At 35.3% G+C, this 27,407-nt stretch overlaps 1 long non-coding RNA gene across 1 annotated transcript in view; it reads right to left on the reverse strand.

The window, feature by feature from the left end:
- Window positions 1–6,597: 6,597 nt before the first annotated feature.
- LOC105375167 (uncharacterized) overlaps window positions 6,598–27,407 on the reverse strand; it is a 67,988-nt gene continuing 47,178 nt past the window's right edge. Inside the window, exon 3 of the long non-coding RNA XR_927058.2 lies at window positions 6,598–8,193. This is a non-coding gene — a long non-coding RNA (uncharacterized LOC105375167). The remainder of the gene's footprint in view (window positions 8,194–27,407) is intronic.

The following is a 27,407-nucleotide window of genomic DNA, read 5'->3' on the forward strand; positions in this document are numbered from 1 at the left end:
GAAAGTATAGCTGGAGAGAGATGCTCAAGGAACAAATCCTAAATTGCCATGGGACTCAAGATAAATTGACTTATGCAAAGCAAATTCTTCACTCATTTCTCACCTTTCTGTCAGCCCAATATCGCTTAATTCCTCTGGAAATCAGTAGAGTTGAGTATGCCTGCAGACATATATTAATAAAAATCTCTATCTTTGTTTTCTTTTTCTTTTTTTTTTTTCCACGTTAGTCAAGTGGATCAGCTAGAAACTTTCCTCAACACTTCTGTGTATCTGGGGTCATGAAAAATATATTTCTGGCCCGGCGTGGTGGCTCACGCCTGTAATCCTAGCACTTTGGGAGGCCAAGGCGGGTGGATCACGAGGTCAGGAGATCAAGACCATCCCGGCTAACACGGTGAAACCCCGTCTCTACTAAAAATACAAAAATTAGCCGGGTGTGGTGGCGGGCGCCTGTAGTCCCAGCTACTCGGCAGGCTGAGCCAGGAGAATGGCATGAACCTGGGAGGCGGAGCTTGCAGTGAGCGAGATCTCACCACTGCACTCCAGCCTGGGTGACAGAGCAAGACTCTGTCTCAAAAAAAAAAAAAAAAAGAAAAATATATTTTTAAGAGAGCTTCAGTGGAGGTAAATTCTTGCTGCTAAAGAATTGTAGCCAATACACATGTCCATTGCCTTCTAAGTGAATAGTTGGTAAGCATTCAGGGTAAACATTATGTGTATTAAAATCAATCAATATGTATAAACTTATGAATGAATATTCAATATTTATTGTGTATTTATGGTATGTTAAAGAACATATTGACGAACAAAACCAGAAAGCTTCTTTCATGAAACTCAAATATATTTTAATAGAAATATGCTCAATTGGTTTTACAGTAATATATTAAAAATATGATGGCATAGTATAAATCATGGGCATTGGGGTCTCACATATCTAGATTCTTGTACCAGCACTGCCACTTACTGGCTACGTGACCTTGGGCAATTTATCTGACCTCTTTAAGTGGTCTTAATTGTGTTGTCAGAGATTATTTCCTCCTGTCATTTAGAAGGTGTAATGGAAAAAACCACTGGATTAGAGGTAGAATCCTGGCTTAAGGTTTCCACTCCTGGGTCCAGCACCACCCTGCTCTGGGTCTCAGTTTCCTTATGTATGAAATAAAGCTTTGGATAATGTAATTTGCTAAGCCTCTTTCATATTTTAGGGCACAAAGAACCTTTACTTTCACACTTAATTTCACATTCATGAGGGAAAATTAGCTTCCTTAATGTTTCCCCTTCTTTTATTTTTTAGATCCTACTGCAAGGCTGTAGCTTCAAATCTAGGAGCAAAATATGTTGAAAGCTTTAGAGTTTCAAAATCATTTATTTACCAGAGAAGACCTTTGCCATTGGATTTCAAACAATGGTAGGAGTGGTTTTAAGAAACACAGTCTACACTACAATTTTTTTCCCAAGGGCTTTGAAAGAAAGGCCTCTCCTTCTAAAACTTACATTTTTGAGAAAGGTGGAGCTGAACCCTCATCTGTAGAAAACATCAGTCAGAATCTATGATTCACTGCCAGAAGCCTTATTTTGGAATCTTTTCTTAATAACAGCCCTGTATAACAAAAAGATGCTTTGTATTTCAGCAATGCCTTTATTTAGACCACCTTTCCAATGTATTTATAAACATGTCTAAGAAACACAGGCTATGTCTAGACTATCGAAGCAAAAAGGCACCAAAATCAAACAGAAACAAAAGTAGAGCATTGGTGAACTGGTATGTTCAGTAGTCTGAACATCCATATTAGTTTATTCCACTGTTAACTCTAATAAAGATTGTAGAGAAAAGTATAACTTTTATGGCAGCAGATTTTTATTTAAGTCATTCCCTATCAGTTTGGACATTTTCAAAACATATTTATTAACTGTGATTGGTGCTGATAGCTTAAAGAAATGTAGGTTATTCAGGGCTTACCCACATGAAAAGCTAAAAATCAAAATAAGAGTGTCTGTTCAAATCTTTTGCCCATTTTTAAATTATGTTGTTTATTTTCTTATTATTGAGTTAGAAGAATTCTTTATATATTCTAAACACAAGTTATTTCTCAGATACATGTCCTGCAAATATTTTTTTCTCAGGTTTTTGCTTGCCTTTTTGTTTTTATAACAGTGCCTTTTGAAAACCTAACAATTTTAATTTTGATAATGTCAAATGTACTGAGTCTGTTCTTGCTTTTTGTGTTATAGTTTAAAAAATATTTGCCAAGCTCAAGGTCACTAAGATTTTCTTTTTGTCTTCCAAAACTTTTATAGTTTTAGGTTTTTGATCCATTTTGAGTTATTTTTACGTATGACATAAAATAAGGCTTCTTTTTTTGCCTATGGCTATAAAATTTTTCCAGTAGCGTATGTTGAAATGCTTATCCTTCCCAGTTGAAATTCTTGGGGACCTTTGGCAAAAATTGATTGACCATAAATGCATGAATTTATATTTAATGTCTATAATCAATTGATCTGTTTTCCTATGATTACAGCAATACTCACTTTCTTGATTACTAAACTTGTATAATAAGTCTTCAAATCAGATAGTGAAAAGTCCTTCAAAATTATTTTTCTTTTTCAATGATGTTTTCATTATTCTAAGTTCTTTGTATTTCCATATAAATTTTAAAACAAACAATTTCTACAGCAAAGTCTACTGAGATTTTGACTGGGCTCGCATTGAATGAATTTGCAGGGAATTGATGTTTTAACAATACTGAGTCATCACACTCTGAATGCACCATATTTCTCCACATATTCAATCTTTAATTTATGCTAGGTATCTTTTGTAGTTTCCAGTGTCTAGAACTTATACCTCTTTGTCAAATTTATCCATAAGTAGTTTATATTTTTATACCATTATAAATAATATCATTTTATAAGTTCATTTTTCTAATTGCTCATGGCTAGTATAATAGAAATATAATTAATTTTGTAAATTGATCTTGTATCCTGAAACCTTGCTAAACTCATTTACTAATTCTGATAGTTTCTTTGTAGATTTTTTAGAATTTTTTACATAAGTGATTGCCTTTTATTTCTTTTTCAACCTGATTACACAGGCTGGAATCTCCAGTAAAATGTTGAATAGAAATAATAAAGAGTGTACCACTTTGACCACTTTGCTTTGTTCCTGAATTTACAGGTATAGTATTCCGTCTTCACCATTAAGTACGATTTGAGTTGTTAGTTTTTCATAGATTCCATTTAGGGATATTTAAGGAGTCATCAGACTCTATGGAACACACACATGTAAGATTATTATTAAAAGGCAACGGATTAGATACAGAAAGAGAAAGAGAATTGAGGCAAGCATCAGATACCAAAGAGACATTCCACAAGAAGTTTCCCCGGGACCACTATTCATATTCATGTCCCACATATGTAACAATCTGTATCTCCAGCCATGCTGGACAAAATGGTTAGGCCAGTTGCAAATATCAGTAAAGAAACTGATTTTGAAGGCCATTAGGAGAGTTTTGGACCTTAAACAGCATAACATAAATGCCATTACTCTTATCCTGACCAAGAGTCACAAATGAGGCATCCTCAGAGATTAAAAAAAAAAAAACAAACAACAAAAACAAAACAAAACAAAACAAAACACAACTTTTTCAGTCTAGTTGTAAAACAACTCAATCTCCTCACCTTCTCAGTTTGAGGAAGTTCACTTCTATTCTTGGTTTCTTCAGAGCTTTTATTAGAAACGGATGGTGTGTTTTATCAAATAACTTTTCTCCAGCTATACAGATTACCTTTTTCAGCTGTTATTAAAAAGAATCACATTGGTTGAATTGAAAATCTTAAACCAGGCAGGCATTCCTAGAATAAAGCCCCATTTTGTCATGAGATTATATATGAGACATGACATATATATGACATATTATATATGTCATGAGATGCGTGTGTGTGTGTGACATAAACATTTGGTAAAACCTTGGTAGAAATTTTTGCGTCGATGTTCATGATGGATTTTCATCTCCAGTTTTCTCTTATTTGGCTTTGGTATCAGGATCATAATGGCCTTATAGGATTGAAAAACATTCTGTCCTCTTCAATTTTCTAAGAGTTTGTGCAGAATTATTATTCTTTCCTTGACACTTTGGTGGAATTTCCCCATGAAGCTATCTGATCCACAATTTTTCCTCATGGAAAAGTTTAACTATAAGCTCAATTTATTTAAAAGAGTTACGGCTTTTTGAGTTATATTTATTTTTTAGTGAGCTTTGTTGGTTTGTGTCTTTCAAGGAATTTTTTCATTGAAATTGAAATTGTTAAATTTGTCATAAAATGTATTATATCTGCTTATTATCCTTCTAATGTGTGCAAAATTACCAGTGATGTCACCTCTCTCATTACTAGTTCGGTAATTTGTGCCTTCATTTTTATTTTTTTAAATCAATCTAGCTAGAAATGTATTTGTCTTCTCAAAGAAGCAGCTTTCACTTTTATTGATTTTTCTCTGTTTTCTCTTTTTACCTTTACATTTAGTATTTCATTTCTTCTGCTCTATTTGGGATTGATATTTTTCAAATTGTGTTAGTTTCTTAACATGAAAGTTTAAATCACTGATTTGATACCTTTTCTCTTTTTTAAACATAGGTATTTAGTGTTATAAATTTGTCTTTAAGTACAGTTTTAGTTACAAGCTAAACTTTTGGTATGTTTTCGTTTTTATTCAGTTCAAAAAACTTTCTAATTTTTTTTTATGTCTTCTTTGATCCATAGTTTACTTAGAAGTTTATCTTGTAGTTTCTGGATGTTTGAAGATTTTTCTAATATATTAGTTATTGGTTGTTAATTTAATTTTATGTTGGTCAGATAACATGCTCTGTATAATTTGAGACCTTCCTAGAAATATAGAGAACTTTTTTATGGCCCAGAATATAACATTTTATGGTAAACGTTCTGTGTGCACTTAAAATGAATATGTACTTTGTTGTTGTTGAATAGATTGTTTATAAATATAAATGAAGTCTAGTTGGTTGACTTCTTTAAAGAAGAATGCAATCTTATCCTACATGTGTGAATTTCTCTGTTTTTCTTGCAGTACCATCATTGCTTTCTTTCTGTATTTTGAAGCTGTGTTACTTGGCATACACATATTTTGAACTGTTATTTTCTATCAGTTGACCTCCTATATCATTATGCAGTGGTCTTCGTTAGCTCTTTTAATACATTTTCTAAAAGTTAAAAAGAAGATTCTTACTATGAATCAGTGCTTCTATTACCCTTCTGAGGAAAGTTATAATGTGATATAAAGGCTACATTGAAAGTTCTTCTTTAAATTAACTATACTTTATTCCTAAAATTACAAAGAATCAAGGTATTTAACAAGTCAAGTGCAATAAATTAAAATGTTCTTTTAGCATAAAGCAACACTAGAAAAAATAAACATTATAGATGGAAGTTAAATAGTTTTCAGTGGCTCCTTTGAATATTTTTTATCTCTGAAACCCACTCTGTCTAAAATTACTGTAGTCATTTTAGCATTTTTTCATTAATATTAGTATATATTTTCCCATTCAGTTATTTCTACCCCATTGCTATCTATATACTCAAATTAGGTTTTTTAAGGCAGTGATAAGCAATTCTTGCTACTTTATCTAGCAATATCTGCCTTTTGAGTATTTAGACTATTTATATGTAATGTGGTTATTGATATTATTAATTAATACTGTCTCCTTACCCATTGTTTTCTATTTGTCCCATTTTTTTTTCTTCTTCCTCTTTCCTTTCTTTTTTTTTTTCTTTAGGGCTAATTTAGTATTTTTATGATTTCATTTTGTTTATTTTTATTAGCTGTAATCCAGCAATTTATGGCAAATCAGCATATGAAAAGATGTGCAACATCATGAGTAAGTAAATTCAAATTAACACTACAGTGAGATATTACTACTCACTAGAATCAGTAAATTTCATTTGGATAATAACAATAATTCAGATAATAGTTAAATTAGATAACAAGTATTGGTAAGAGAGTTAAACAACTGAAATTCTCATACACTACTGGTAGAAATGTAAAAATTGTACAGGCAATTGAAAAAACTGTTCAGAAATTTCTTAGAAAGTTTAACATATAATTACCTTATAATCCTGCCGTTTAACATCTAGGCATTTATTCATGAGAAATAAAAACAGATGTTCAGATAAAGATTGTACACCAATGTTTACAGCACCTTTATTTATAACAGTAGTTTGAAAACTGTCTGGGTGCCTTGGCTCATGCCTGTAATCCCAGCAGTTTGGTAGGCTGAGGCAGGTGAATCACCTGAGGTCAGGGGCTCGAGATCAGCCTGGCCAACATGGCGAAACTCCGTCTCTACTAAAAATTCAAAAATTAGCTAGGCATGGTGGCAGGTGCCTGTAATTTCCACTACTTGGGAGGCCAAGGCAGGAGAATCGCTTGAACCTAGGAGACAGAGGTTTCAGTGAGCTGAGATCGTGCCATTGCACTTTAGCCTGGGCCACAAGAGTGAAACTCCATCTCAAAAAAAAAAAAAAAAAAAAAAAAGAAAAGAAAACAACTTAAGTCTTGTAGACTTGAAATCATGAGATCCATATATTTGGAGAGGAGAGCTTTGTTTCTTATAAAGGGTTTCCGCCTGCAGGCTGGCCACCCTGCAGACTGGGAAGCATAGCCTCCAGCAGAAATCAAAAGCAGGTACTTCAATGGAAGAAGGATGAGACAGGAATTTATACTGGACAGGATGGCTAAGTATACATATCAACAAGTTATAAAAAGAGTTATGAATATTCACAAGGGACACACATATGCTAGTAAGCAAACATACATATTACATATGTCACATGTTCACTTTAGGATGGAGAATTAACATTTAAATGTATTAAAATTAGGCTGTATACATTAAAAGATGACAGACATCTTGTGGGCAGCCTCTGTATCTGGCCAGAACCAGTCCATGGCTGGTAGTAAAAAATCAGAAAGGAATGTGCTATGAAACTGGTGAGCTGCTGTGTAGAAACTACAAGAAGGGAGAGGATTCCAGCTGCAGTGTCCAGCAGTTGGCTGAAATCAGCAAAGGAGTGAGTTTTCATTTCTTTATTTTTCCAGGGCCAGTTTCTGTTTAACCCTTAGAAAATAATCTAGTAAAGATTGGCAAGGAATGAGGTACACCAAGAGGTACTCAACCTCCCACCTTGTCATGACCAGGAAACTCAATTTTTCAAAGTTTTTCTGGAGTCTTCTTGGGCAACAGGTGTCTGCTCAGTCAGTTGCAGGGCTTAGGATTTTATTTTTATTTCACAATCTTTACAAAAATGTAAATTGATAAATAAGATAGAATATCTATGTAACGAAATTATACTCTGCAACACGGAAACATATGAAAATAATTATGCTGAATATAAGACGTCAGATGAAAAAGAGTTCATAGTGAATGATTCCATTGTATATAAAATTTCAGAAAATATAAATGAATCTATAGTGACTGAAAGCAGATTAGTGGTTTATTGGGTTTGGGGGATGCTGGGGAGTGTTGAGAGGGAAGAATTACAAAGCCTGATGAGAAAATATTTGGGAATCATGTCTGAGCTCATTATCTTGAGTGTAATGATAAATTCTCATCAGATGATTGATAGATGACAGATACATAGATAGATAACTAAATATGTTATGTCAACTATAGCTCGTTAAAATTATTTTGAATACAACAAGATAGTTTGAACAGAATTCTAAGTACAAGGTAGAAAAGAAATTTATGTTATTGGAGGACAAAGGAATTGGTGATCACTGAGAACTGGAGCAGGTACCGGAGATATTTTAGAAAGTATGAGACTTAGGCTGTATGTTGAAGGCAATGGGTGTGTTCATGAAGATAATTTATGATTCAAAAAATGGGCCCTGTTTTTGGATGATGTCAAACACCACCAGTTTCCTATCACTGTACATAGAAAGAATACGCCTCTATATGGTGCAAGCAAAAAACAATTGTATTCAATTTCCCTTTTGCCCATTCAAAACTTTCTCACGAGGCTAGTTATTTTCTGTTCCTGGGTGACATCTACAGCAGTCCGCATGTTGTAGCCTAGTCGTAGTTCAGGAATTAAAATGTCCAGATAATTTAATTGTCTAAACTCCCAATTTTATTTCTGGTCAGTGATCTTTCTTCATCCCTCCTTGTTGTACCTTTTCAGGTACGGAGCCTGCAATGAAAAAGGGAATGTGTCTCCATCATTTCTATTTTGTAACTATTGCTTCTTTTTGTCCCCAGGTTTCTATCCTCTATAGCATAAGAAGAATTAGAAAAAAGAGCAGTGAGCGAAGAAACATTATGACTTGTCTGTTACTGTTGTGATCCTGCTTTAGGAAACGTTTACATCTGACTCTTTCACGAAGTCCTACTGCACTTCCCCTGACTTGGATAATAAATTGTATTATTTTTCCCTTCCCACTCAGTCTTAGATTTCTGAAGATATATCCCTTTGGTTGAGATCATATCAAACCTGCAGATGGTCCTCTTCATCACAGTTGAAATCAATCTCTGACCCGTTATTTCTCACTTGGCACAATCCCTGTATCACAAAAAACACATTGCAGGGAAGTCTGTGATGGCTGCTTTGCCGCTCTCTTTTCCTGTTTCTCTCAGAGATTGCTCAGGAACCTGTATGTTCTGTTTTTTGACTTCAGGAGCTGTATATATATATATATATATATATATATCTCCAGGAGACATATGTATTGTATATATATGTATATACATGTACATGAATGTATATATAGATACATTTATATCTTATATATACATTCATATACAGATACAGATATACAGATACATATATCTATACATTCATATCCACATACAGATATACAGATACATATACATATGTATATATCTCAAGCTCTCTAGGTGATTAGATTAAAGATCCCATAGCTGACTTCAGTTAAGGCTAGGGCACCCTCCATTCTTTTTTGCCTCTTTGAATAGAGACAAAAAAAAAATCCATAGCAGTTCAGCAACTGTATAAAAAAAAATCCTCTTAGCTCTTTAACCTGAAAAATGTTGTGCTATAAAGGATATGTAGCTAGAGTTCAAGAAACTGTTTGCATTTTTGTTTCTGCACTGTTTCCTTTGCTAGTCATATATAGGCAGTAGTATATCACCTCAGTGTGGAATGTGGAAGCACTTGCCTGCTATTGTTTTCGTCTTGGAATTTGAAGTCTCCACCAAAACTAAAAAGAAAGGTTTCCATTTGAACATCCTGTTACAAGAATGTATACTGCCAAGGATGTGATGTAATTGAATTTGACTATCAAATCTGTAGTTCTCAGAACATAGAATTGCAAGAGGCATCACTTATGAGCAACTTGCAAGAACGTGTGATTAGTTTGGGTATTTAATTTTTTGTTTATTTGCATTTATTTCAGACTCTGTGCCAATATGCTGTTAAGATTTATATTGAATAACAAAACAAGATTATGAATAATTCTATAAATGTCAAAATACTAGCAAGCAATCTTATTAGTATTTTTCCGTGAAAGCTATCAAAATAACGATGTTTTGAAAAATAATTCCTTCCTATAATATCACAGATTTATCTAAATTGACATTCAAATCAAAGCTTGTTTCTTGCAACTAATAACGCATGATTGGTTATTTGGGGCATGGGATAATATGACTAAATGCCAAAATGTCTTATTATGTCTTGAAATTATTAGTGAGAGTTTAATGTAGAAAAGTTCATTACAATTCACAACACATTAAAATAACAAAGCCTTTAAAACTTTTTCTTAAAGCTAAGGAGAATATGTATAAGTTTGTTAGAAGGGGGTGTCAAAGACAAAAATTCAAACAAGTAAACTGATTTTATTCAGTCTATTACAATAGGGAGAACACTCCAGATCTGAATATCAGAGTTTCTCAGCAGGGTGATTTTACTTTGGCATTTATAAATAGGAATAAACAAGTTACAGGTGGACAATCATCCAGTTGGGCTTATTTCTATAATCAGGGAGTGTCTCAATCAGCTGAATAAGAAATGTTTATTTCTGTGTCTAGTTAATATCACGGGACAAACATTTCACCTAATCATTGGTGAGCCAAAGAATGGGAATTTAGAGCTTTTGTATCTGGCCTTGTCATAGGTAAACAAGGAGCTCATCTGTCAGTCTTAGGAGAGTCACAATAAATAGTGGACATCAAATCTTATCTGAGTCATATGGGGAAAGGTGGTTCTTTGCAGTAAACAATTTCCTGGAACATAAAATGGTGGGGGTTCTGAAAAACACAAGAGTGGGGAATGATCCTTAACCACAACTGTGTTCTGGAGCAAAGCGCCCAGGTTCAACATTGTAAATCTTACCTCTGGACAGGTATTAGGAAATTGATTTAGCAAACCTTCCTTTATGTGTTAAAGAAAAAACTAATGAAATTGTTGTGATTTTAATTTTTATCATTGGTACTTTGCAAATAAAAAAAAATTTTGACTTTCAGTCCAACATGTAAAGACTTTAAACTCATCAATCCCATCCTCATAACCAAAGAAAGCTGAACAAATTGAAAGTTAACAATGCTACTGAATTCCATCAGAGAATTAAAGTCCTGAAGAAAACGAGGAATACAGAGAGTCACAATTTGGCAGGAACAGAAGCAGTCAGAAGACATGATCTGGTAGGAACACTTACAGGGAATTGACAAACTGTTGAAGACTGACATGGACTGGCTCAAGGGGTAAAACCTCCTGGGGCCAGCCTTGAAGAAGCTGTCATATGTTCTGGAGGTTCTGGAGTGTTTACCTCCAGGGGCCCACCAGGTTCTCAGCGTGAAGATCACAGGAAATACTATCAAGATTCTGGCAGAGGAAAAGGAAAAGCAACCATTTTTAAACATCCCCATAGTCTTCTGTTCTTCCTAACAAAGTCCTGCTCTATTTTATCAGAACTTAAACAATTTGGGTTTTTCCAGAGACTGAAGGACCTTGGGGAAGGGAAATACCCAGTTCCAGCCTTCTCTAGCCTTCCTGTCTCACCTAAAGAGGAAAACAAGGCTGACAAGCACCTTTGAAGGTCAGGGACCAAGGGCAGAAGCCCACTAAAATATTAATCACAGGAGTGTAGAACACTTCCCCTCCTCCCACACATTTCCAATTAGACTACTGAATAGTAATAAGGGATTACAGCTGAAATAAGTGCAAAGCTCAGACTCTACTTAAGAAAGAGTCTAAAAGGAAATCCAAAGACAAAAGGAGGTGCAATAACAAAGATACTAGAAGAAAATTTTAGCCTCTGACACCTGTAGATACAGCCTAACCCCAGCCAGATAATACAAAACTTCATACTAATGGCCTATTTATTTCAACACCTTGTACCTGATATGTCACTTCTGGCTTTGAACAGCAACAGCAAAATCACAAGGCATGCTAAAAGGTAAAAAATAATAATCTAAACATACAAATTCAGCATCACAATTAGATTTAGAGGTGGCAGAAATTGGAATTTTCAGTCTGAAAATAGAAAATAACTATTAAATATCCTAAGTGCTCTCTTGAAAAAGTAGACCCCATATAAGAAAAGATGGATGCCATAAACAGAGAAGACACAGAAATTCTAAGAAATAATACAAAGTATATGCTAAAAATAAAAAATTATATATTGCAAGAAAAAGAAAAAAAAAATTCTTTCAGTGGCCTGATAGGCAGACTGGAGGCTGAGGAAAGAATCAGAGACCTGGAGACATATCAATAGAAACTTCCCAAACTGAAAAGCAAGGAGAAAAAAATGAAAAAATAAACAAAATATCTAAGACTGTTGGACAGTTACAAAATGTGTAACAAACATGTAACTGGAATACTGCAAGAAGAGAGAAAGGAATAGAAAAAAACATTTGAAGTACTTAATGGCTAAGAATTTTCCAAAATTAATGACAGACGCCAAAACACAACACTAGGAATCTCAGAGAACACCAAATAAGATAAACACAAAAAATACATACCTAGGTATATAATAGCCACACTGCAGAAAATCAGAGATAAAGGGAATATCTTGATAGAAGCCAAGGATGGGGAAACCCAAAACATCTTAACTATAGATGAACAAGGATAGGAATTATATCAGATTTTTCTATAGAAATCATGCCAGTTAAAAGAAAGTGGAGTAAAATATTTCGTATTGAAAGAAGAAAAGCACCAACCAAGAATTCTATAAAGAATAAAATTATCATTAAAAAGTGAAAGAAAAATAAAGACTTTCTCAGACAAAAATTGAAGGAATTTGTTGCCGGTAGACCTGCCTTGCAAGAAATATTAAATTATTTAGGTCAGAAACTCTAACTATACAAATGAAGGAATCGCATCAGAAAAGGAATTAAACAAAGGTAAAATAAAATTATTTATTTTTACCATTCTTAATTGATAAATGGATTTGTTTAAAATTCTAATAGCAGCAATATATTTGGTGATTATAGCTTATGAGTAAGTGAAATCAGTAACAGAAATATTACAAGGCATGGGAGGGAGTAATTGAGAATGCTTTGTAATAAGGTACCTGTACTACACATGAAGCAGCACAGTGTTACTTGAAAATGAACTTAGATTACTTGTAAATGTATATTGCAAACTCTAGGGCAAACACTAATTTTTTTCTGGGCCACGTAATGCACTGTAAAATAGAAGGAATAACAATCACACAAAATAAGCTCTCAGTTCACAATAAAATTAAACTAAAACAACAGAATGATAGTTGGAAATTCCCCAAATATTTGGAGATTATAAAACAGAGTATTAAATAACAGACCAGTCAAATAAGAAGTATCAGGAGAAATTAGATATATTTGAACTAAATTAAAATGGAGAAAAAAATCAAAATTTGTAGGATACAGTGAAAGCAGCATTTCAAAGGAAACTTATAGTATTGAATGTGTATATTAGAAAAAAAAAACCTGAACTCAAAAAATCTAAGCTTCCACATTAGGAAACTAGAAAAAGAAGAGCAAATTAAATCCAAAGTAAGAAGAAGATACAAAATTACAAAAACTAGAGCAGAAATCAGTGATCTTGAAAACACGAGATCAATACATAAAATCAATGAATCCAAGAGCTGTTTTTTTTTAAAGATAAGTAAAATTTATAGACTTCTACCCAGGTTAATACCCCTGCCCCCAAAAGAAAAGAGAGAAGACACAAATGACTAATATCAGGAATGAAAGAGGGGTCATCACTACTGATCCTTTGGATATTAAAAGGATAATAAATAAATATTATACATAACTCTTTGCCCACAAATAAACCAGATAAAATGAATCAATTTCTTGAAAGATACTGCTCTTCTGGGGACACAATTTGAGAAACCTTGCTTTAAATGAACTCAGATTGCCATGATGTTTAAATTTTTCTGTCAGTTTTTTTTAACAATCTTCATCCTTAATATTGAAATTCCATTTGTCATTTCTCCTTTATCTTAAAGGAATAACAAAAGCAGACACCTACAACTGTATATCCATTTATTCATCCTTTAAACTTGTCTATCTGTGTCTCACTGAACACTGTGTAAGATGCAGAGGATTGTGTTGGCTAGGGATCATTTGGTAGCAGTGAGAAAAAAGTTTTAGTCAGCTGAAGTGGAAGAAGGAGTTTACTGGTGGGAATCAATCCATCTCACAGAATTTACAAGTAGCGAGTACTGCTGGGTCTAAGGAGGTGCTAAAACCAGGAGCTAAAAAGTTATTATGAATCTAGGTGTATTTGTGCTTATTGCTGTCCCTCTCCCTTTCTCTCTCTCTCTCTCTGGCACCACAGGTCCATATTACATCTCCTTCCTATTCAAGTCCCCAGTTGAGCTGACTGGAGTTATTTTCTACCAATTACAAGTGTCAGGGAGAGATAGTAAAATGCTCAATTTTGTCATCTGCGACCCAAACATCTGTGTTTTAGTCAGCCTCCAGGTAATTCAGATACATGCTAGAGTGTGAGAAACCTTGGGCCAGAGCAATTATCCAGGAAGGAGGCTTCTGAGAGTTGTTGGCAGCCAACATTGACTGCTACAGCTCGGAGATGAGTGCACCATGGGTGCAGTCAATGGAAGACATCAATGGCTTCCACTACAGGTGCTAAGTGCCAGCTCCTCTCTTTTTATATTCACTTAGAAAATTTTACTCTAGGACACAAAAAATTCTAAGAGCAGAGGAGACAAGTGTCCTCTAATGTGTCCTAAAATTGATAATAACCGTAAAAAGTTATAGGTCAAATAGGAAAAGGAGCACTGTAGAAGCAGAGCATCTTACAGTATCTTAAGCATATTACAATTTACAATGGAAAACTGCAGAGTACATTGGTCTTTGAACAGAGCAGTCAGAGAAATTCTACCACTGAATAGCATGGCCTCATGGGCTGAGTGCTTGTTAGATATGTGACCCCGTTGAAGCACTTCTATTGAATGTGTTTGCAGAACAAGATAGATGGACACTGTCAAGACCCACATGCCCTCTCAAGGGGAACTTCAGAGTTCTGGGATAGGAAGCTCTTCATTCATGGATGAGGAAATCCATTTACACACAAAACCTCAGCACAAGGTTCATCAACAATTCTCTGACACAAGAGAGATAACATTTCTTGGAAGATTTGGAAAAACAAATATCCTAAAATAATTTATTAAAGAAAATAGAAGATTTTTTGAGAAAATTTACTTAGTGTTCTATCTTACAAAAGATAGAGGAAAATATTGCCTTAATTCTTTCTAAAAAACTGACTCGAATATGTCACATGATATGAATTATAAATGAAGACTCAAACTATGTTTTATTGGACTCTCCTATGTAAACAATAGGATGAAATGTAATTCACTGGAGACCTATCAGTAATCTTCATGGGGGCAAGTATGGTGGAAGGAATGGGCACATCATTGAACCTACTTTGATGTGCAGAATCATTCTATCCTTTTATAGTGTGATCTAGCTCATGGGCCAAAGGAAACAATTTGCTTTTCTCTGTTATTATTCACAAGTCCTACAGCAGGGTTTGCTACCAGATTCTGAAGTCTAATAAAATATTATCATGACTGGTTAAAAATAAATGACTGATGTCTACTGTAAAAAATTAGCTCATATAGTACCATTCTAGGAGGTACTATTAACAAAGTATAATTTAGTAAGTCCTATATATTATGATATAATTTACAAATTTGTACTCTAGTCACCACTAAATAAGCCTAATAACCAAACTTTCATAAAAGTAATGTATAATTTTCTCTGATTAAATACATTATTACAGAAGGCAAAAGCAGATTTTGCCAAAGTATATTCCTTTGACACTCTGAGTTGCATATGATTTTCATAAATACTTTTATGCATTATATTGAGTTCAAAATCCATGGCATATGTTTAACATTACATGTTGAAGAAATTCCAAGTTTACATTCAATAGTTAAAGTAAACAAATGCTTAGAAACACATAAAATTTTTATAAACTGTCACTACCTAACTGTCACCTGTCAGTGTAAACATTTTAAAATTAACAGACATGTAATCACTGGCTGGAGTGATCACATGAAAACCATGGCCAGATAAACTTTGGGAAAATGAACATAAATGTTTCATGCAGATAAAAGAAGACAAAAAAGAAGATGGTCCATTACAATTTGGAGAGATCACAGCTGACCCCCTTCCTGCTTTGTGTGCTGCCTGGGCAGAAAAAAACAGAGCCTTTCTGGAATCTGAAGAGGGAGAGGGGGTAGAATGGGTGTTCTGCCTGCGGTGGTCATCCTATGGTAATCTAAGAAGGTCTATGTGTCTGAATTGGCCAATATGTGTGACATACTCCACGCGTACATTATGCTGGCATGCCCAGAGTTGTCATGACCTAAGAGCCATCAATGTGTCTTGACTCTTGAGTATCATATCAGTCATCCCAGACTGCTAGTTCATCCAGAAGGAAAAAGATGGTCAAATAGGTGTTTGATAAGTGTATCAGTAATGCCTTTTTTCCAGCATCCTTTCGTACCTTGGAGTGGTTCTGCCCTTGCAGCCAGAATGTTGCCAAAAGCAGATGGCTGCTAGGTGAGATGTTTTAGTAGCTCATCTTAGAATTCAAACTCCTGTTAATCAAGCAATATCCTTCTGTCTGGGTACATTTGAACTGTCTGCCGTTCTCTTCTCCAGGCTAGTAGGCAGGGAATGGATATATGGAATGTAGTGTAAGCCCTAAGTAATCTGGATAATAGGAATCTCTTTATCCTCAAACTGTCTTTCCCAAATTATCTATCTTAAAATTAGGGGCATGTGGATATTCTGTCCCCAGTAGTTACTCTTTGTCTCCTCTAGAATCTGAGTAAATCCAAGTCATGGTTTTACCAGTTGTTGGTTGAACAACTCTTTTAACCCCTCTATGCCTTAAATAAATCATGTAAAGCAAGGACAGCAATAGGGATTTAACAGCAAAAAAATTTACAAGCCCAGCTTCACTATTTTCTAGCTGAGTGACCATGGGGAAGTTATTTAACTCCTCTGTGGCTCAATTTCTTTCTGTGTAAAGCATGGATCATAATAGTTTCTATTTCATAGATTTGATATGAAAATTAAATGAATTAACGCATGTATGTTACATAGAACAGACCTTGGCACACTGTAGACACTATATAAGTGCTTGCTGTCCTTACCGATACTATCATTATCATCATCATCATCATCATTATCATTGCATTTTCCATACCCAACTGAAGAATTTTTCGTGTCATCAGTAGATATCTCTGCCCTTATTTGTCAATATGATCATGTAAAAATTATACCTAGGTTAAACTTTTTTTCTTATGGAATCTCACTATGTCACCCAGGCTGGAGTGCAACGGTGCAGTATCAGCTCACTGCAACTTCCGCCTCCTAGGTTCAAGCAGTTCTCCTGCCTCAGCTTCCTGAGTAGCTGGGACTACAGGCACCTACCACCACACCCAGCTAATTTTGTATTTTTAGTACAGACGGGGTTTCATCATGTTGGCCAGGCTGGTCTTGAACTCCTGACCGCAAGCGATCTGCCTGGCTCAGCCTCCCAAAGTGCTGGGACTACAGGTCCAGGTTAAACTTACTTTTAAAAACTTACATAGATATAGAGATAAATAATAAAATATATAAGTAATATTTGAATTGTGTTTCAGTGGGCTATTTTTTTCTCCCTTAAAATGTATGTGTTTTTAAAAAGTATAAGAGTATCATTGTTAATAAAAATATAAACTTAAAAAATGCTCATAGCTGACAAAGAGTAATAATGAACATCTGGAAAAGAGAAGTATTATTTAATCTGTGATAGTTGGACAATTGGCTAGCTTCTGTCAAAATAAATATCTAAAGAAAAAAATTTGGCCAGGCGTGGTGGCTCACACCTGTAATCCCAGCACTTTGGGAGGCCGAGGTGGGTGGATCACAAGGTCAGGAGATTGAGACCATCCTGGCTAACAGGGTGAAACCCCATCTCTACTAAAAATACAAAAAATTAGTCGGGCGTGGTGACACATGCCTGTAGTCCCAGCTACTTGGGAGTCTGAAGCAGGAGAATCGCTTGAGCCCGGGAGGCGGTGGTTGCTGTGAGCTGAGATCAGGCCATTGCACTCCAGCCTGGGCGACAGAGTGAGACTCCATCTCAGAAAAAAAAAAAAAAAAGGAAAAAAATTTAAATGTTTAGATATCAAATAACAAGAAAATAAAGGAGAGACTTAACAAATTTCTGAATAAGGATAAATTTTAGAAGGTTAAAGTAACAGAAGAACTCATAACAACAATACTTCAGACAAGGTGAGACTATTAGAATGGTGGATTGAGGAACTTGGTAGATCCTCTCTTTAATAAACACAACAAAATATCAGCAAAATCAACATTTTTGGAACTCCAGAAATTAATCAAAGGCTTACAATACTCTGAAGAGCAATTATATTCCAGAAAAACGACTGAACTTTGTGATGTCTTAACTTGGCTTACTCCCATCCCCTTGTCCACAGAAATGCAGTTTAAAACCACAATAAGATACCACTCACGCTTACTAGATTGATTGTGATAATAATTAAGACAGACAATAACAAATATCAGTGAGGATGTGGAGAAACAGGCCTGGTGGGAATGTAAATTGGTGCAGCCACTTTGGACTATGGCTTGACAGTTTCTCAGAAAGATAAACATAAAATTATCTTTTGACTCAGCAATTCCACTCCTAAGCACCTACCAAAGAGAACGTATTTCCACACAAAAACATATGTTGATAGTACCTTATTCATCATATCCAAAACCTGAAAAACTGCTAATCAACTAGATAGACAAAAAAGGATGGAGAGACAAAATATGGCATATTCATACAATAAAATATTATTCAGTAATAAAAACAATTGAAACATGTTATGTCATGGATGAACTTCAAACATGATGCTACATGAAACAAGCCAAACAAAAGATACCACATATTGCATGATCCCATTTATAAGAGATATTCATAAAAGGCAAATTGTTAGAGAGGGAAAGTAGATTAATTATTGCCTGAGCTGGGAATGGGGAGGGGGATTAAGTGTACATAAGGAATGATCCTATTGGAAGGCTAAAAATCAGTTATAAAACTGTTTTATGTGATGTTTACACCACTCATTAAAGCTACCAGTGATCATCAAACTGTGTATTTGAAAAAGGTGAATTTTACGATATGTAAAATACACTTCAATAAAGTTAACAACAACAAGAAAATGTTTTAAGCTAATTCCCTGTCCCATAAACCAGGGGATATTTTGCTGGGTGCATTCTGGGACCAATGGCCTAGAGTCCTGGTTACGCAAAGAGGCAGGATTTCAGTTGCCAATAATGTGCTGTGCCTGGCATGGACAGAGGAAAGAATTCATACATCAGTGTCTGGTGGAGTCTTTGAATAAAAAGCCCATTAAAAATGGCCTTTCTTTAAAAACAGAGTTCTGGGTGTAAAGTCAAATTACTGGATGACAGAGAGCCAAATATGTGTAAGAAGATTTAAAGCCAAATTTAGGAGGCAGAACAGGGACAAATTCTTAAAATAGCAGAGAGATAGCTGAGCGGCCTTGGACAGCTCCACATGCACTCTAGAAGAGTGTTATGTTCACTGCCAGGCATAGTTCTTCTCTTAGATCTTAAGTAAGAATGTAAATGTTCAAGGACCAATAACCAAGTGAAAAACAAAGTAGAACTTCGTTATTCTAGACAAAAACCTTTTGTCACTGAAGCTATACTTGAGAAAAATTCAGATTATAAAACAGTTTTGTTTCTTCAATTGAATCCTTCATATTTTATCTTTCTCCTTCAACAAAGGGTAGGATATTCGCTGTACAGTTCACAACCATTCATTAAGAATTATCAAGCAAGTATTATGCGTTAAGTACTTGCACTTGGGATATGACAGTAATAAAACAGACCATAACTTTTTCCCTCGTTGAGCTTGCATCCTCACAGAGAGAGGGTAACAAGAACATACAAATAGATATAGATATCAAGTTAAGTCATATAGAGATTCTACACAAAAATATAAATAGGGAAGGGGTGTGAGCAGCAAAACAGGAAAGGCATTGTGATTTTAGGGTGGTCAAGGAAATGTCAAAGAGAAGGTGGGACACTCTGGGAAGGGTCATCCCACTGAGTGAGGCAATCTCTGCAGTGGTTGACAACTGAACATGGCTCACCAAGAGCACTCCCAGCCACACTGGCAATGTCTTTCGTTAAAGAGAAATCCAAGTCCACCATGTGCTCCAATATTCTCAAACAATGAAATGACCAGAATGAGTTATTTACCTGTGATTTAGTTATTAATCTCCACGTATAGGTGGTTACACCCCATGATAGCAAACCCAGATGAGGGAGTAACAGGAGTGTAATACGTGATTGCTAAATTATTAGGTGTAGAAGATAGTATAGGAATCCAAAAAATGTAAGAAGAATGTAGAAGGAGAAATCATCAAAACGTAGACAGATTGCAACATGGGCATTTGCCATCTCTTTAATTGTTAGGACTCATAAAATATAGATAATATTATTGGCATACTGTCTCTTTTTATTCTCAAGTACTTTAGGGTACAAGTGAAAAATTGCAGTCATATATATATTTTTAAAGTTCTATTTACTTCAAGTCAGTGCCAAATTCTCATTATTTAGCATTTATTCACATTCTAATGCAAGACAATTTAAGCTGAATCACTATTATCACAAAGACTTTTCAAGAGTGTATATCTTCAGAAATAATAATAACTAACATTTATTGAGCAATTTCTACATGTCAGGCATTATGTGGAACACTAAATAATTTATCTCTAATAAACCCATATAACAACTCACCAAGAATAGTCTAGCATTAATTATCCTTATTAACATATGAGGAACCTGAGGGTAAGGGGGCCTAAATGACCTAAGTTTACACAGCTACTAGATTGCACATCTAGAATCCAGTCTCAGCCGTGGAATTAGATGTAAAACTCTTAAGAGCTTTATTGCAAAGAATCCAGTTTTGTTTTGTTTTTTTTTAGATGGAGTCTCGCTGTGTCTCCCAGGCTGGAGTCCAGTGGCGCGATCTTGGCTCACTGCAAGCTTCACCTCCTGGGTTCACGCCATTCTCCTGCCTCAGCCTCCCGAGCAGCTGGGACTACAGGTGCCCGCCACCAGGCCCAGCTAATTTTTTGTATTTTTTAGTAGAGACGGGGTTTCACCGTGTTAGCCAGGATGGTCTCGATCTCCTGACCTCATGATCCGCCCGCCTCAGCCTCCCAAAGTGCTGGGATTACAGGTGTGAGCCACCGTGCCGGGCCAAAGAATCCTGTTTGATGGCAACAAGAGATACACTCCTGATAAGGGCTGATTAACAGAGATGACAGTCATATGTCAATGATCTGAGGAGCACTCCCCAGTCTAGCCTCAAGCCTCAACTGCAGTTCTTTACCTCAGATATTGAATGGGACAGTCACCCACAATGAGATCATCCACTTTGGTGATGGGAATTTAGAGAGCCAGGAAACTAAAGACTTAAACAGTAACACAAGAGGTGATAATAATTTGGTGAAAACTAACAAGGCAATTCAGTTGCATATAATTTCACAGAAAAAAATTATGATCTTTAAGACATGCTGTACGATAGGGTTAATTCTCTGAAGATATATACAAAAATCAGTCCAGCATTGGAGGAATGGAATGCAATGTTTAACAAAAGTAAATTGCTGAAAAGTTGTCATTACAAAGAAACTCTGAAGTGTGCAATTGCTTTAGCTAAAGCAGATGGAGTTAATCATGCCATGTTCAAGATTTTTTTTCACCTCCCCTTGAAATAATTAGCCACAAGACTATAAGTACATTTTTCATGTCAAATGGACAGTGGCTTCAAAGAAATTGGAGGACAGAACTCTAGGAGAGAGTGAGAAAAGAAGATTGACTGGATGCACGAAAGACAAAATATCAACGTTTTTTGTGTAATCACTGAACATGTGTCAGCAAGTATGAGGTCACTTTTTAACTGGGAACAATACAACTAAAATAGGTAGTTTGTTAAATAAGAGAAGCAATGAAGTGGAGCTCATCTTGCTGATCAACTCAAAGCCTTGCAGAATTTTGGGGGCAACATGGAATTTTAGTTAAATCTAAACTCAAACAACATGAGTTAAAGTAATGAAACTGCTAGAAAACTAATATTAAATACGATGCCTGAAAATGAAGAGCAAAAAACCTAATTCAAACCCTACTCAAATCAAACTTGATGACATGTCTTTTGGTCTGAACTGCACACTTGGCCTAATAGTGGCAAGGTTAGGTGTGTCAGGAGAACGTTTATATTATGGAGGGCCTAGTAGAAGCTCTCTTATTGAAGGCTATCAGCCTGGTATTAGTTTAGTTCATCAAAATGTCCATTATATGACTTCTGCCATGGTCATTTGAATCCAAATCTTTAGTAAGGAATGGTTAGTGAGTTTTATCCAATTCAGTTTGGTTGCTCTCAGATTCTAGTTACATAAGCAGAAAAATAGGCATACTTCTGAGTTCGCCTTGCTAGAACTACTTACTGTCAAAACCTGTGCAGGGTATCACCAACCAGAAATAATCATCATCATCATTATTTTCTGGTCAAAGCGCTTTATATAGTAACTCTTGTAATTGTAATAATAGTACGCTGTGAGGTAGGTCCAATGAGTATAGCCTCATTTTACTAATGAGCAAGCAGAGGTGCAGAGAGGTTAAGTGACTTCACTACATCACACACTAGTGAGTAGCAGAGTTGAGACTGAAATCCAGTTATTGCATCTTCAGAGTCTGTGCACTTAACCACAATAATATACCGTTGTGACAGCTACGTGGAAACCACTTTACTCTAATATGTGCATATTCTCCCTCCTGGCTCTAACCACAGGCTTCTTACCCACTATTGCTGACAATTCTGTGGAGTATCTCTTTTTGCTTCTTCTCTAGGGTGATCCAAGTCAACGTTTATGAGAATGCCATAACTTACATGTAGCCTCAATGGAATCAAGTTTCTTTTCTTCAGTATTAGAGAACAGGATCCTGGAAAGCCTAAATATAAAGTCAATGGAAATTTACCCCATTCAAAAATACAGCATCCTATATATCATAACATAAAAATGCTCAAAGGGGCTATATCTAAGGTCTACTCATATAACTTGAAAGTAATGATTCAAAAATGTTTTGTAAAAACTCACAAAAAAATGTTCTAAGCAGTTTTGGAATGCATAATTGATGTTTGTGGTACCCAGGGACAAATTAGTCATTCAGAATTTCAGAAAGGAAGAAAAGCCCCATGGGTGTTTCTCCAAATATTATTTTACTCCTTTCTTTCCTATTGTCCCTGTTTATTATAATGACCTGTCAGAATTTTTTGGATAGCACCAGCCTTTCGTCACATAGCTAAGACCACTTGAGAAACACCCGAATGTTCTGGTGTTCCCTCGGTATCTATATCCAACCCTGAGCCTGGTCAGCAATGATACAAGGAGTTGTAAATCAGAGAAGTTAACTCAGTTCTGCTGTAATCTAGGGCTTCTCTCTTTCTGTATCCAGCAATAATACTCTAGACACATGCTCGTAAGTCTTAGTCTGACTTTACAAGCTTAGTCACTGCTGTAGTGGCTTCTAGGGAAGTCATATGTCTTCCCTTGCTTGCCCCTTTCCCAAAACGAAAACCAACCAGGGTTCTACCTTTTGAATTTGAGTCTTGTAACCTAAGGATTTAAACTCCTGCCTATCCCAAACATTGATGAGCCCCAGAGAAACTGTGTTTCTAAACTCCATTTTGATAACTTTTTGCATTTTACTTCTTGGCAGAATATCCTGATGCTTACTATTGCTTCAACCACTACTTGCTTCCTATTGTCATTTATTTTTAAAAAATGCATAACCTTGCTATATTGGAGTTCTTCTGATCCATAACCTGGTAGATGCCATCCTCCCCAGCCATCCTGTCATGTCCCCTACTCTATGGTAGGGCAGCTATTTATTTTTATCATGGTCTTCATGTTCCTTGACAGTAACATTAGAGTTACCAAATCTATTTTAAGTCAAAATAGACTTTAAATTCCAAAGGGGCAGGGAGGTTTACTTTCTCTTTTTCTTTCTTTCTTTTTTAATTTTTGTCTTATCATTTGTTAAATTCTTGTTGTACAGCACACTGGTAAATTACCTGGCATGTAGTGGACTCTCAGAAATGTCTGTTGAATAATGAAAGGAAGGAAATGAAGAGGGAAGAAAGGATAGCTGTGAAGCTTTAAAAACTAGAACTCATTCAAGAAGTGGTAATGAAAGATAAAGTCCTATTACAATTCCTGGTTTCTGAATTAAAAAAAAGTACTACATTTTGGCAGACAACTTAATCTGTTAGTGATGACATTGAGGTCAATGGTCATTGACAATGTAATAATAATTAAGATTTAAATATTTTGGTGCTACTAATTTTATTTAGAAACTAATAGTAACACTTAGATCTCTGATACTAAGAATAATAAATGCTGCACGGTGAGCAGGAAGAACATGAAGTCATACATTTTTCTGTTCCAACTCAGCTTAAGCTCTTTCTAGTTGTGTGAACATGGATAAGTAAATTAAGCTCTGGAAAATCTACTTTCCCCATTATAAAAGGGGACTAGTACTTCTTAAGTAGGTTTGAATATGTTACCAATATTTGCCTCTAGGGGCAAGGTAGAATATTTTATTTAAGTGTTAGAGGGGAAAAAAAAGGAATAATGTTATTAAGAAAGTTTAGTCACTTGAAAAGATGTAAAAGTTTGTATAACATCATTTTTGTATGTTAATTTATAAATGAAAAAATAATAAAAGTATATTTTTCCACAAAAGCTACCTTGAATTATTTCTGTGTTGTGGGCTTATCACATTTTCGTTGTTAAACACTTGTATTTATCAATATGTATGAAACTCACAAATTGAAAACACATAGATATAAGGAAAAAGGGAATTTAATATGTGTTAGATCAATGTTTTTAGCACATTTGTTTTCCTGAATAGGAATAACTGATAGATAAAAACTTGCCCAAATTAGCATATTTGTTTTAATGTTATTTTAAAATCAATTAGTAGTATTTTAAATGAAATGTGACAGAAGATAGTTTTCACTATCTGTATTTTCTAATTCTGGATTTTAAACTAATCAATAATATTGATAATGAAGCACATACATTTTTCTTTTTTTTTTTTTTTAAACGGAGTCTTACTCTGTCGCCCCGGTTGGAGTGCAGTGGCGCGATCTCGGCTCACTGCAAGCTCCGCCTCCTGAGTTCATGCCACTCTCCTGCCTCAGCCTCCCGAGTAGCTGGGATTACAGGTGCCTGCCACCACGCCTGGCTAATTTTTTTTTTTTTTTTTTTTTTTTTTTGTATTTTTAGTAGAGACGGGGTTTCACCGTGTTAGCCAGGATGGTGTCGATCTCCTGACCTCGTGATCCGCCCATCTCGGCCTCCCAAAGTGCTGGGATTACAGGCGTGAGCCACTATATTTTTCTTTTGGTAAGAGAAAATATACTACTTTACTAAGTATAGAAGATAAAACAGACTTTGAGTGTAGTTTTGGTTGCTTTGAAGAACTAGTTGTTGATTACAACAGTGGTTCATAAAAAGAAACATGGATGCAATGTAGCTTATATTTTCATGATTCAAGATCTCCCTAAAATATTGTGTAGTTTGGCCTGCTAGTTGCACTGGTCTATTTCACTTATCCTCATGGCAAGCAAGGTAATGAAATGGGATATTACTTAAGCTAAGTGATTTTATTGGAAATACTACAGTTCAATTGTTGTTGTTGAATCTTTCCAGGACAAGTCAAAATACACCTTAACTTACAAATATCCAAAGTTCTGACCTTTTGATTTTTCATAAATTTTTCTTTACTGACATGAGTTATTCTTCCCACCCTTTTCCAGTTAGTAATTTGGATTCTTTCCTGAAGAGGATTTTTCCATGCACACCACATAAAGCTATCCATCAACTTCTTCCCATGCTTAAGTTTTTATTCATCTTAACCAACACCAATTTTTGTTGGCAACAAATCAGAAAGTTAGGGAAACTACAAATGGAAAAGATACAACATGTCAACCAGTATAACATCGTACAAACAAAATTCCTTCTTAAAATTTACTTATACTTTATTTTATTATACCTGACATCACCACAGTAGCATCATTATTCTTTAATCACAGAGTAAGAATATTTGCCTTGCTTAATGTTTAATATAATATTCAGTTTTATGTTTTCTTCCTTCCCAGAGTTGGAGGAAAAAATGAAGAGAAATATTTTGGCTGCATAATTCTCCTCCCATCCCTGCCTATGCCAAGTCTTTTCTTTTTAGTTCTGAACTATTAACTCTTAGTGCAGAGAGCATTACTAAGCTAAAAGGGACTTTCCTCAACAAGGAAGAAAAAGGAACAAAATATTTTGTCATTCACTGGAAAGGGGATAAAGGAAAGTTACCCAAACTGTGTTCTTCTCTCCTTAAAGATGGCCAGCACCATGATCCTCCTTATTATCCTTTACCTCCCTACAAACTTTCTTGTCAATGACTGTCACTTCTCAATGATTTAGCAAATACACAAGCAGCTCATAGTATATAAACAAGCAGTATAGTATATGAACAAGCAGTTCACAGTATATAGTCTATTGTTCTAAGAGCAGGATTTACAAAATTAAAATTCTGTAATCTCAATCCTACAGTTGTTGCGGACACAAATGAGAAACAGGTACTATGTAAAAAGCATTTTGAAGAACAATGCACACGGTGCAATGGACATATGAAAAGGCTGGGTGTGGTGGCTGTAATCCCAGCAGATTGGGAGGCCAAGGCGGGTGGATCACCTGAGGTCAGGAGTTCGAGACCAGCCTGGCCAACATGGTAAAAACCCATCTCTACTAAAAATACAAAATTTGCTGGACGTGGAGGTGTGCGCCTGTAATCCCAGCTACTCTGAAGGCTGAGGGAGGAGAATCGCTTAGAACCTGGGTGGCAGAGGTTGCAGTGAGCCGATATTGTGCCACTGAACTCCAGCCTAGGAGACAGAGCAAGACTCTGTCTCCAAAAAAAAAAAAAAGAAGAAGAATAAGAAGAAGAAAAAACATTAATTCTCTGAGAGTATAAAAAGGATGCAGTAAAAGAGGACTTGAGGTTTGGCATGAGTTATGACTTGAAAAAAATGACTAGAAGGAACTCGTCAGTGGAGCTGCCAAACCAATGAACGCAGTATGCAAAAACTAGATGGTGTGAGTGAGTGTGGCATGTTTGGCAAGCAGTGCTAAGCCATAAAATGAATACCATAAGATCTTTGATTCATATTCAGAAAAAATTAATCTGGAACTATGGAGAGCTAAAGTAATAAATGCAACCTCAATAAAGTTTACATTTCTAAAAGTTTATTCATCTTATTGTTTCAGATCTTCAGCAAAGATAGAATCTAAAATATTTAATTAACTCTAGATGATTGGTGACCATATCTAATATGAAAAACAAAGGCAAGAGAAGCACTTCTGAAATGGTGCTTCTGAAATGGTGCTTCTGAAATGGTGCTCTAAATGGTGCTTCTGAAATGGAGCACTTCTGAAATGGTGTTCTAAAAATTCTTTATTTCATAAAACAAATTACAACAAAGACAATCAAAATAAACTTTTACAGAATTCTGGAAATTAACCAAAGGCTTACAACAATACCACTAGGGGAACTTATTTAAGGAAAATGGCTGAATCTCATTAAGAACAAAGAACTCTGACATTTTAGCCTATCGTCATCCCTCTTTCTCCAACTCTGTGGTAGCCTTAAAAACCAATACCCTTGTAACCATGGTACCTGTGAAAACCAGCAGTCTACCAGCCAATGTAGATAACAGAAATGGTTGGAAGCACCCCAAATAACCTGTACCACTAAAAATTGCCACTATTTGACTAGTCTGGCAGCCTC

This window comes from Homo sapiens, chromosome 7 (assembly GCF_000001405.40).
Source record: "Homo sapiens chromosome 7, GRCh38.p14 Primary Assembly".
Classification (NCBI taxonomy): domain Eukaryota; kingdom Metazoa; phylum Chordata; class Mammalia; order Primates; family Hominidae; genus Homo; species Homo sapiens.